The sequence below is a fragment of the Homo sapiens genome, chromosome 11 (assembly GCF_000001405.40).
Source record: "Homo sapiens chromosome 11, GRCh38.p14 Primary Assembly".
NCBI classification, from domain to species: Eukaryota; Metazoa; Chordata; class Mammalia; order Primates; family Hominidae; genus Homo; species Homo sapiens.
Window position 1 is genome coordinate 5,231,123 of NC_000011.10, and position 9,598 is coordinate 5,240,720.

The window sequence follows — 9,598 nt, forward strand, 5'->3', positions numbered from 1 at the left end:
TTTTTTCATCTCTTGACCTCCTCATCTTCAATATGAAGATAGCAATGCCTAGCATATAGTAATTGTGTGTGCTCGGCACATGTCCCATCCAGGTGATGTTCTCATGAATTCTCTGGTATTTGGATTTTTAGGGCCAACATCTTGCCTAGACTCACTGACTACTTCTAATGGTGTAGGAATAGAAGGTATAGTAAGCTATATTTGCTCTTTTTTTTTGACTTTTGGAGAAAGGAATGTAGTTTGTTTTCCCTATCAAGATCATAAGGTCTACAATCTCTCTTACTGTCTTTCGAATACCACACAAGTATCTCCTTTTAATATCTTACTCTTATGAGAACTTCCCTATGCTCAGGAATGTGAAAGTGATCTTCCCCAAAATGCCCTGAGTAGCTCTGCTTCTGATATGTAAACCAGTGGTTCCTAAATATCTTATTCAGATATAAAGAGTTCTCAGTGCCTACTATGTATAATGACTTAAGGAAAACACATGGATATAAAAGAGCTTCTGCTGCCAGTCAATTCAAAATGTTGTGATCAAAACAGTTAACTATAACACATTGTCAGTATATTCTGGCAGTACAGACAGAGTTACTGTGAAAGCACTTTCAAACACAAGGAAACAACAGATTCTGTTTAGGTATTCAAGTAAGTTTAAAATTAATCAACATGCATATAATACAGATTTTTAAAAATGTATACAACTGAGAAAGTTCTAAAAATCCTTCTAATTTTACCTATGGCAAAAATGGTGCTCAAGGAAAAAAATATTACTCCTATGATCAGAAAGGAAATAACTGTTCGGTTGTTTACTGCATGCTTCCTCTTTGTATGTTGTAGCATTAACAACAAAGAAACACTGTGCGATGGTATTATTAATATTGTCCTCTAATTCCAGAAGTTCTAAAGCAAGGAATAATCATTCCTTCATTTACTCATTTACTCATTCGTTCATTCATTCACTGTTTTCTTGAATAAATATTTTCTTTCTGCCCATTGATGAATTTAATATGAGGCACAGTAGGCATGTAAGAAGGTAGAGAATAGGCAGAATTGCTTATAAAGCACGGAGTGTGTGTGTGTGCATGAAATAAATAAGAAAAATATAAAAATATAAAAAATGGTGTGGGGGAGGGTTTGGAAAGATTTTTTGGGTAGTATAGAGAAGTTTATTGTGGCTGGGGTCAAGAGAGGTCACAAGTAATACGTGAGCAATGAATCTTGACTGAAATATGGGAAGATAAGAGGAAATTCTTTACAGAGATGTTCTGGGGCAAGTAAGAGGAGGAAGCTATTTCTTGGAGCAGGAACACTTGATGGGGTATAGTATTATGGGCTACAATGTGCAGGCAAAGGAAGGAGGAAGAAAGACAACATAACATTGTCTTGAGTAATCATTATGCCTTTAATTGAGCACATTATTTTCTCAGTAATTGTTGGAGTTTAATCGTAGCATTACCCTTGAGGCTATGTCTTAGGGTTGAGGTCTTCCCTAGAACCTCTGCAGTGCCAGTATTATCTTTGTATCAAGAGTTCTTGATAATTTCTGCTCTTTGGAGGTAGAAGTGTCACCCATTAATGCCTTGTACGGTTCCCTTGCTTTTCTCTTTTCCCATGTACTCTTTGTAAAATAAACAAGTGCTCCCTATCTGTAGAGCCTCAGGAACCTTCTTACACACCTGGACAAAAAAATGAAATAAGTGAAATTAATCAGGAAGTTGAGCTGAACATTCTTTATTAGGCAGAAGCCATACCCTTGAAGTAGGCATTGTGTTCCCAAGTTCAGAAAATAGAATCTAGGGAAATAGGGTCTTCTTATGGTTATCAGGAAACAGTCCAGGATCTCAATGGTACTTGTGAGCCAGGGCATTAGCCACACCAGCCACCACCTTCTGATAGGCAGCCTGCATTTGTGGGGTGAATTCCTTGCCAAAGTTGCGGGCCAGCACACACACCAGCACATTGCCCAAGAGCTGCGGAGAAGAGGTAGGCAGATACATGCATATGGTTAACAGAGAAATAAAGACTGGCTTCTGAGAAACTGAGCCAACACCCATTTTTTTCTGCCCAAATCTTAGACAAAACTGATCCCCAGGTTATTCCCATCAGCATAAATAAGTACATATATGAATGCATACATATAACATATATCTATACACACACATCCTCTATGTACTTAACTAGCATGTAGTCTATATATGTACATATATGCTATATATGCTGTATAATACTATATACAAATTAATTCCAAATTAGTTTTAATTTTGTATGTGTATATAGCATATACAAATTAATTACTATAAACAGATTAATAGATACAAATTAATTGATTAATCAGTGTGATGATGGGCTGTCTCCTAGCAACGACTTCTGCCCCACCTCCAGTGTAACTGCCTAGTCTTTCATAATCAAATATTCACTTTCCTTTCCATTCCATTTACTACAGAATTTATAAAATTCCAATTATTCCTTATTGTAAAATGATTTATAGCCTCTAAAACAGTATTCTATGCCTCTCATCTTTGAGTTGGAGCCTCTCCCATACCCATGTGGAGAGACAAAAGGATTATTCTAAGTGCAGAATTAGCAGGTGAGAGCTGGTATGCATAATTTGAGTTGTTGTTAGAGAAGGAAAAATGAAGGGAGGGGGTTGGGAGAGAAAGACAGGATATTAAATAATTTAAAATAGCAAGATTGTGAGGAAGGAAAAAATGCAGAATATTTAAATAAAAAATTAACAAAATTTTAGAAGCATTAAATGATAAAATATAGTAAAATGACAAAAATGTGGGAGAAGAGCAGGTAGGTAAAAGAACCAAAATGTAAGATTAGAAAGTAAAAAGAGAAAAGTGAAGCATCTCCTGGACTCACCCTGAAGTTCTCAGGATCCACGTGCAGCTTGTCACAGTGCAGCTCACTCAGCTGAGAAAAAGTGCCCTTGAGGTTGTCCAGGTGAGCCAGGCCATCACTAAAGGCACCTAGCACCTTCTTGCCATGAGCCTTCACCTTAGGGTTGCCCATAACAGCATCAGGAGAGGACAGATCCCCAAAGGACTCAAAGAACCTCTGGGTCCAAGGGTAGACCACCAGTAATCTGAGGGTAGGAAAACAGCCCAAGGGACAGAGAGTCAGTGCCTATCAGAAACCCAAGAGTCTTCTCTGTCTACACATGCCCAGTTTCCATTTGCCTCCTTGAGCCTCTCTTATAACCTTGATACCAACCTGCCCAGGGCCTCACCACCAACTGCATCCACGTTCACTTTGCCCCACAGGGCATTGACAGCAGTCTTCTCCTCAGGAGTCAGATGCACCATGGTGTCTGTTTGAGGTTGCTAGTGAACACTGTTATGTCAGAAGAAAGTGTAAGCAACAGTCGACTCTGCCCTGCCTTTTATGCTGGTCCTGTCCTCCCTGCTCCAGTGAGCAGGTTGGTTTAAGATAAGCAGGGTTTCATTAGTTTGTGAGAATGAAAAATGAACCTTCATTCCACTATTCCCTTAACTTGCCCTGAGATTGGCTGTTCTGTCATGTGTGTCTTGACTCAGAAACCCTGTTCTCCTCTACATATCTCCCCACCGCATCTCTTTCAGCAGTTGTTTCTAAAAATATCCTCCTAGTTTCATTTTTGCAGAAGTGTTTTAGGCTAATATAGTGGAATGTATCTTAGAGTTTAACTTATTTGTTTCTGTCACTTTATACTAAGAAAACTTATCTAAAAGCAGATGTTTTAACAAGTTGACTCAATATAAAGTTCTTCTTTGCCTCTAGAGATTTTTGTCTCCAAGGGAATTTTGAGAGGTTGGAATGGACAAATCTATTGCTGCAGTTTAAACTTGCTTGCTTCCTCCTTCTTTTGGTAAATTCTTCCTATAATAAAACTCTAATTTTTTATTATATTGAAATAAATATCCATTAAAAGAATATTTAAAAAATGAATAGTGTTTATTTACCAGTTATTGAAATAGGTTCTGGAAACATGAATTTTAAGGTTAACATTTTAATGACAGATAAAATCAAATATTATATACAAATATTTTGAATGTTTAAAATTATGGTATGACTAAAGAAAGAATGCAAAGTGAAAAGTAGATTTACCATATTCAGCCAGATTAAATTTAACGAAGTTCCTGGGAATATGCTAGTACAGAACATTTTTACAGATGTGTTCTTAAAAAAAAATGTGGAATTAGACCCAGGAATGAAGATCCCAGTAGTTTTTCACTCTTTTCTGAATTCAAATAATGCCACAATGGCAGACAAATACACACCCATGAGCATATCCAAAAGGAAGGATTGAAGGAAAGAGGAGGAAGAAATGGAGAAAGGAAGGAAGGAAGAGGGGAAGAGAGAGGATGGAAGGGATGGAGGAGAAGAAGGAAAAATAAATAATGGAGAGGAGAGGAGAAAAAAGGAGGGGAGAGGAGAGGAGAAGGGATAGGGAAGAGAAAGAGAAAGGGAAGGGAAGAGAGGAAAGAAGAGAAGAGGAGAGAAAAGAAACGAAGAGAGGGGAAGGGAAGGAAAAAAAAGAGGAAAAAAGAGACAAGAGAAGAGATAAGACTGACAGTTCAAATTTTGGTGGTGATATGGATCAATAGAAACTCAAACTCTGTTGGTGACACTGTACAATAGTATAACCCCTTTGGAAAACCTTTAATAGTATCCACAAATGCTGGATGCTTGATAAGTCTATTACCTAGCAATTACATTTTTAGATATTCAGAAACACATGCATGTGTGTATCCAAAGACATGTATAGAAATGCTTATGACAGCAATAATCATAAAAACCTCAAACCGGTAGCCACTTAAATGCTTACCAACAGTAGAATTGATAAATTACGGTATAGTCAAAGAATAGAATATTACACAGAAATGAAAAGAATCAACTACTGCTTAACACGTAGCGATACAAATGCATTTTACAGCATTTGGTTGATTAAAAGTAACCAGAGGTGAGTTCAAACTATATGACTTTATTTGTATATAGAAAGATGGATGATGTGCCTGAGATTCTGATCACAAGGGGAAATGTTATAAAATAGGGTAGAGAGGAGCCATGAATGACCTTTAAACTTTGTTACAAGTTATTTTTCTGTAACCTGGAAGCCAACGAAAGATATTGAATAATTCAAGAAAGGTGGTGGCATGGTTTGATTTGTGTCTTTAAAAGATTATTCTCACTTAGTGAAGAAATGTATTTTAGAAGTAGAGAAAATGGGAGACAAATAGCTGGGCTTCTGTTGCAGTAGGGAAGAAAGTGACAATGCCATTTCTATTATCAGACTTGGACCATGACGGTGATGTCAGTCGTGAACACAAGAATAGGGCCACATTTGTGAGTTTAGTGGTACGATAAAATCAGAAATACAGTCTTGGATACATTGTATTGTATGCACTCTTGTAAAATGCAAAAAGATGTACTTAGATATGTGGATCTGGAGCTCAGAAAGAATACAACCAGGTCAAGAATACAGAATGGAACAGAACATACAAGAACAGATCATAATGTGCTGTGTGAATCACTACCACTACCTGTTAAAAATGACAGATGATGTACTTCATCAATATCTCCTTAAAATCTTAGAATGTGTTTGTGAGGGAGGAATTATGTTTCCAATTCATATATAAGAAAATTGATTCTAAAAAAAATGTTAGGTAAATTCTTAAGGCCATGAGGACTGTTATTTGATCTTTGTCTGTTAATTCCAAAGACTTGGCTTTTCACTTTAATTCTGTTCTACCTGAAATGATTTTACACATTGGGAGATCTGGTTACATGTTTATTCTATATGGATTGCATTGAGAGGATTTGTATAACAGAATAAGGTCTTTTTTTCTTTTCTCTTCTGAGATGGAGTTTCATCCCTATTGCCCAAGCTAGAGTGCAATGGTGCAATCTAGGCTCACCGCAACCTCTGCCTCCTGGGTTCAAGCAATTCTCCTGCCTCAGCCACCTGAATAGCTGGGACTGCAGGCATGCACCACACGCCCGGCTGATTTTGTATTTTTAGTAGAGATGGGGTTTCACCATGTTGGTCAGGCTGGTCTTGAACTCCTGACCTCAAGTGATCTGCCTGCCTTGGCCTCCCAAAGTGCTGGGTTTACAAGCCTGAGCCACCGCATCCAGCCAGGATAAGGTCTAAAAGTGGAAAGAATAGCATCTACTCTTGTTCAGGAAACAATGAGGACCTGACTGGGCAGTAAGAGTGGTGATTAATAGATAGGGACAAATTGAAGCAGAATCGAACTGTTGATTAGAGGTAGGGAAATGATTTTAATCTGTGACCTTGGTGAATGGGCAAGTAGCTATCTAATGACTAAAATGGAAAACACTGGAAGAGAAACAGTTTTAGTATAACAAGTGAAATACCCATGCTGAGTCTGAGGTGCCTATAGGACATCTATATAAATAAGCCCAGTACATTGTTTGATATATGGGTTTGGCACTGAGGTTGGAGGTCAGAGGTTAGAAATCAGAGTTGGGAATTGGGATTATACAGGCTGTATTTAAGAGTTTAGATATAACTGTGAATCCAAGAGTGTGATGAATACAAAGTTAAATGAAGGACCTTTAATGAACACCAACATTTAATGTGAAATCTCAAGGAAGTATGAAGTAAGACATAGTCCCCAAAATCCCCGATGATTTTAGAACTCAGTATCGATTTTAATTAGTGTAATGCCAATGTGGGTTAGAATGGAAGTCAACTTGCTGTTGGTTTCAGAGCAGGTAGGAGATAAGGTTCTAGATTTTGACACAGTGAAAAGCTGAAACAAAAAGGAAAAGGTAGGGTGAAAGATGGGAAATGTATGTAAGGAGGATGAGCCACATGGTATGGGAGGTATACTAAGGACTCTAGGGTCAGAGAAATATGGGTTATATCCTTCTACAAAATTCACATTCTTGGCTGGGTGTGGTGGCTCACGCCTGTGATCCCAGCACTTTCAGAGGCCGAGGAGGGTGGATCACCTGATGTTAGGAGTTCGAGATCAGCCTGACCAACATGGTGAAACCCCCTATCTACTAAAAATAGAAAATTAGCCAGGCATGGTGGTGGCACATGCCTGTAGTGCCAGCTACTTGGGAGGCTGAGGCAGGAGAATCGCTTGAACCTGGGAGGCAGATGTTGCAGTGAGCCTGGATCATGCCATTGCACTCCAGCCTGGGCAACCATAGCAATGCTCTATCTCAGAAAAAAAAAAAAAAAGTTCTTGCTAACCTGAAAAAATAAATTATTTGAGCTTTGTACCTAATTCATAATTTTCAGATAATGAATATTGAGATGATATATGCACAGAACAATGCCTAGAGACACATTCTAAGTGTGACATTCTTAAATGCCAGTGCTCTCCACAATTCTAATCTCAGTTCACTGCTGTTTGAATTCTGTGTTTTCATATTATCTTATCAATACATTAATCATTGCAATAATCACTGCACACTGTAATTATTCATTTACTGGACACATCCTAGTTTCCTTCTGTCAATTACCATTCATGTCTGCTTTCACATTTATTTCTCATCCTTCCCTCAGTGTTCTCTGTATTTGAGGAACTGACATTTCCCAGGTTTCCTCACCCTTTCAGTCGCATGTACATTCTGCAATGGTAAACACTGGCTGAGGGAAAGCATAAGCAAGATTATTTCTGGTCTCTCTCTCTCTCTGAACGGATCTCCTACAGCAGACAGTCTTTTTTATGGTTTTTTATGGCTGATACTTTGATGCCCCCATTAGACAGTTCTGGCTCTCTCCAAGGAGCACCCACTAGCTCACTGAATCCAGTGGACCTCTGGTTATGGGCTCTGGTTCTGGACTCTGGTGGTATAAACATTTTCTCCTTCTGCCCTTCTAGGCCTAATGGCGGAAGAGGTTTTCTGATGTTACTAACATCTAGATTTCTGCACTGTCCTTTATTTGATATTTTAGCTCTTCCAATACAAGGATAATTAACTATTAAGAGCTGTATTTAATTCTAGGTTGAGTAACTGATAATGGTTTGTCCTTTCCTTGATGGACCCTAACTGATATAACTAATAAACTGACTTCTGATACTATGTCTTATTAGTGTATGAAATTCTGATGTGAATAAATGCATGACACATGCTTGTTGACTAATCAAACTATAGCAGAGGCAGAGGAAGGAACCTCATGACCTATAAATACTAAGATATCACATAGTCATTTTAGAACCAAAGGTTCCTCAGTTTAGGTCTCAAACAAACTTCTCTATGGATAGTGTAATACTCATAATGTAGAAAAGAGAGATCTAATTTTGGATAATTTAATCTTTTTTTTCATCTCCAAATACTAGGGAAATAAGAGTTTACAAGACAATGTCTCTACCATAAAAGAGGTTAAAATTTAGTGGTAGGAATATACAATGAGCAGATTAAGTACATTAGTAGGAAAAACACTAAATATTATAAGAAAGAGCCCATAATTGTAGCAGAGTTTATAGACAGGGCTTTAAGCCCAGTTAAAATTAAAAAAAAATAGCTTCTTAGTTGAGATAACATATAAGTTAGGACTTAAAGTATGAGTACAAGATAGACAAGGCAAAATGAGGGAAAGACATCACCCAGAGTAAATGAACAGCATGTACAAAGCTAACAGAGTCAAATGCAGAAATCCAAATTCTCTAGATTGACTGGGGTAATTTTGTCAATGCACTCAAGTATGCATCTGTAACAGTGTGTGTTCTTATGTGTGCATGGAATGTTTGTTCATGGAGCATAAGAAATTGTGTAGACATATAGACACATCTGTATGTGTATATCAGAGAATGTTTACATTGCTACAAGATTTTATATGACTACATGCACAAGCATTCATGCTACATGTCAGTTTGGTATATTTTTCCTGTAAGATGTGTACTTATGTGTTTTCCACTAAAGGTGAATGTGAAAACTCCTCATCGAGAAATGAACAATAAGTAACACAGGAAATTCAACCCTCATCTCTTCATTTAAAATACAGAGTGACATTCAGAAGGGCAAGGGATAGCACAAGTGTGAGATTTTAAAGTGTGATTGTTTGGACACAGTAATTATTCAAAGAATGTGCTTAATTAATGTATGCTACAAGACAGCAGTTGAGTGATTATTGTACATGAGCAACTGGTATTTATTCTGCTTTGTGGGTTATTAGTGGGGACTCAAAAATATGACAAAGGAATTTCAGAAGCTGTTAGATGGTAGCACCGCCTATCTATGTGCTCCCACTCAAGAGATATGGTGAGGTGAGCTCTTTGGGGTGGACACATAGAGGAAATACTTTGAGAAAGAGGTTTTGGGATTAATGAAACTGGAGAAGAAAGGGTATTATATCTTCTAAAACCTCTTTCTTTGAGGTTTTAGGTTTGAGGGTGCTACATACTTCCTAAGGGTCTTGGGTACAGGAGTTTGAAGTGATTGCCACAGAATGGCTACGTTCATTGCCAGATCCAAACAGGGGGCTTGTAGGCATTTGCTGTTCTGTCAATAAATTTCCTTCTTTTCATTCACAGACAGGGATTTTAGCTGTCATCTCTGACTCTCTGTTTCACAATGTTTTCCAGTTCTGTGCAATCACTGCCACAATGGTCTCTTACTCGATTTTTTT

The 9,598-nt window shown here is 37.8% G+C and overlaps 1 protein-coding gene across 1 annotated transcript, besides 24 other annotated features; it reads right to left on the reverse strand.

Annotated features, from left to right (window-relative positions):
• On the reverse strand, positions 1,716-3,361 carry HBD (hemoglobin subunit delta). Its single transcript, NM_000519.4, has 3 exons — positions 3,220-3,361; positions 2,869-3,091; positions 1,716-1,970 (listed from the first exon to the last, which is right to left on the reverse strand). Exons 1-3 carry the CDS (start codon positions 3,309-3,311, stop codon positions 1,842-1,844), a joined length of 444 nt encoding a protein of 147 aa, NP_000510.1. The 5' UTR covers positions 3,312-3,361; the 3' UTR covers positions 1,716-1,841.
• Positions 2,862-2,919: a non allelic homologous recombination region, noted in NCBI's record as "sub-region HBD Lepore-Boston-Washington, recombines with sub-region HBB Lepore-Boston-Washington within the HBB recombination region". NCBI's record gives the evidence for it as "EXISTENCE:nucleotide sequencing assay evidence [ECO:0000219][PMID:2060774]".
• Positions 2,862-3,243: a biological region, named in NCBI's record as "HBD recombination region". NCBI's record gives its function as "recombination_partner: LOC106099062".
• Positions 2,930-2,976: a non allelic homologous recombination region, noted in NCBI's record as "sub-region HBD Lepore-Baltimore, recombines with sub-region HBB Lepore-Baltimore within the HBB recombination region". NCBI's record gives the evidence for it as "EXISTENCE:nucleotide sequencing assay evidence [ECO:0000219][PMID:2060774]".
• Positions 3,032-3,089: a non allelic homologous recombination region, noted in NCBI's record as "sub-region HBD Lepore-ARUP, recombines with sub-region HBB Lepore-ARUP within the HBB recombination region". NCBI's record gives the evidence for it as "EXISTENCE:nucleotide sequencing assay evidence [ECO:0000219][PMID:23001912]".
• Positions 3,205-3,243: a non allelic homologous recombination region, noted in NCBI's record as "sub-region HBD Lepore-Hollandia, recombines with sub-region HBB Lepore-Hollandia within the HBB recombination region". NCBI's record gives the evidence for it as "EXISTENCE:nucleotide sequencing assay evidence [ECO:0000219][PMID:2060774]".
• Positions 3,311-4,136: a promoter, noted in NCBI's record as "826 bp promoter fragment in the p-Ndelta-luc construct". NCBI's record gives its function as "promoter for delta-globin (HBD) gene" and the evidence as "EXISTENCE:reporter gene assay evidence [ECO:0000049][PMID:22641479]".
• Positions 3,311-8,261: a biological region, named in NCBI's record as "delta-globin 5' regulatory region". NCBI's record gives its function as "regulatory_interactions: HBB | HBD | HBG1 | HBG2".
• Positions 3,351-3,807: a promoter, noted in NCBI's record as "-446 to +11 delta-globin promoter fragment". NCBI's record gives its function as "promoter for delta-globin (HBD) gene" and the evidence as "EXISTENCE:reporter gene assay evidence [ECO:0000049][PMID:1515647]".
• Positions 3,422-3,451: a protein binding site, noted in NCBI's record as "DNOR GATA-1-binding oligonucleotide". NCBI's record gives its function as "necessary for normal delta-globin promoter activity" and the evidence as "EXISTENCE:protein binding evidence [ECO:0000024][PMID:1515647]".
• Positions 3,426-3,461: a transcriptional cis regulatory region, noted in NCBI's record as "wild-type delta-globin promoter region with a defective CACCC box and a partial EKLF-binding site; promoter activity can be upregulated by restoration of the CCAAT box or by insertion of CACCC motifs". NCBI's record gives its function as "reduces activity of the delta-globin (HBD) promoter compared to the equivalent region of the paralogous beta-globin (HBB) gene" and the evidence as "EXISTENCE:reporter gene assay evidence [ECO:0000049][PMID:8916973, PMID:9207479]".
• Positions 3,434-3,439: a transcriptional cis regulatory region, noted in NCBI's record as "GATA-1 motif that shows impaired delta-globin promoter activity when mutated". NCBI's record gives its function as "necessary for GATA-1 binding and normal delta-globin promoter activity" and the evidence as "EXISTENCE:reporter gene assay evidence [ECO:0000049][PMID:1515647]".
• Positions 4,074-4,582: a transcriptional cis regulatory region, noted in NCBI's record as "0.5 kb BsaBI-BsmI fragment removed in the delta transgene". NCBI's record gives its function as "facilitates the timing of but is not absolutely required for gamma-to-beta globin gene switching in transgenic mice" and the evidence as "EXISTENCE:transgenic organism evidence [ECO:0001131][PMID:9892636]".
• Positions 4,201-4,583: an enhancer, noted in NCBI's record as "383 bp Sau3AI fragment in the pbeta-cat-delta383 construct; includes the entire pyrimidine-rich sequence and the GATA-1 binding site". NCBI's record gives its function as "enhances beta-globin promoter activity in transfected MEL cells" and the evidence as "EXISTENCE:reporter gene assay evidence [ECO:0000049][PMID:8654951]".
• Positions 4,258-4,557: a sequence secondary structure, noted in NCBI's record as "DNA_sequence_secondary_structure; likely H-DNA structure that is sensitive to S1 nuclease digestion; includes a 250-bp region with >95% pyrimidines on the negative strand of the GRCh38 reference genome; binds to PYR complex". NCBI's record gives the evidence for it as "EXISTENCE:in vitro cleavage assay evidence [ECO:0001058][PMID:1717993]".
• Positions 4,267-4,365: an enhancer, noted in NCBI's record as "99 bp fragment in the pbeta-cat-delta99 construct; includes the PYR binding region but not the GATA-1 binding site". NCBI's record gives its function as "enhances beta-globin promoter activity in transfected MEL cells" and the evidence as "EXISTENCE:reporter gene assay evidence [ECO:0000049][PMID:8654951]".
• Positions 4,293-4,352: a protein binding site, noted in NCBI's record as "delta60 YY1-binding probe". NCBI's record gives the evidence for it as "EXISTENCE:protein binding evidence [ECO:0000024][PMID:9892636]".
• Positions 4,545-4,553: a protein binding site, noted in NCBI's record as "GATA-1 footprint in pyr region". NCBI's record gives the evidence for it as "EXISTENCE:nuclease protection assay evidence [ECO:0001106][PMID:1717993]".
• Positions 5,760-8,261: an enhancer, noted in NCBI's record as "2.5 kb BglII fragment deleted in the delta-2.5 kb YAC transgene; includes the pyr and R regions". NCBI's record gives its function as "necessary for efficient beta-globin (HBB) gene expression in transgenic mice; may also protect the transgene against position effects in fetal liver" and the evidence as "EXISTENCE:transgenic organism evidence [ECO:0001131][PMID:10022837, PMID:10882078]".
• Positions 5,762-6,416: a silencer, noted in NCBI's record as "0.65 kb F5 fragment in the betaCAT, gammaCAT and gamma-175CAT constructs". NCBI's record gives its function as "strongly down-regulates the beta-globin promoter in transfected MEL cells, and the wild-type gamma-globin promoter in HEL cells" and the evidence as "EXISTENCE:reporter gene assay evidence [ECO:0000049][PMID:7524502, PMID:11783950]".
• Positions 5,762-6,840: a silencer, noted in NCBI's record as "1 kb F3 fragment in the betaCAT, gammaCAT and gamma-175CAT constructs". NCBI's record gives its function as "moderately down-regulates the gamma- and beta-globin promoters in transfected MEL cells, and the wild-type gamma promoter in HEL cells" and the evidence as "EXISTENCE:reporter gene assay evidence [ECO:0000049][PMID:7524502, PMID:11783950]".
• Positions 5,762-7,379: a silencer, noted in NCBI's record as "1.7 kb R fragment in the betaCAT, gammaCAT and gamma-175CAT constructs". NCBI's record gives its function as "negatively regulates the gamma- and beta-globin promoters in transfected MEL cells, and the gamma promoter in HEL cells" and the evidence as "EXISTENCE:reporter gene assay evidence [ECO:0000049][PMID:7524502, PMID:11783950]".
• Positions 5,983-6,020: a protein binding site, noted in NCBI's record as "oligo 38 ALUdelta-2 GATA-1-binding probe". NCBI's record gives the evidence for it as "EXISTENCE:protein binding evidence [ECO:0000024][PMID:11783950]".
• Positions 6,265-6,316: a protein binding site, noted in NCBI's record as "51-bp GATA-1-binding oligo". NCBI's record gives the evidence for it as "EXISTENCE:protein binding evidence [ECO:0000024][PMID:11783950]".
• Positions 7,008-7,045: a protein binding site, noted in NCBI's record as "oligo 38 ALUdelta-1 GATA-1-binding probe". NCBI's record gives the evidence for it as "EXISTENCE:protein binding evidence [ECO:0000024][PMID:11783950]".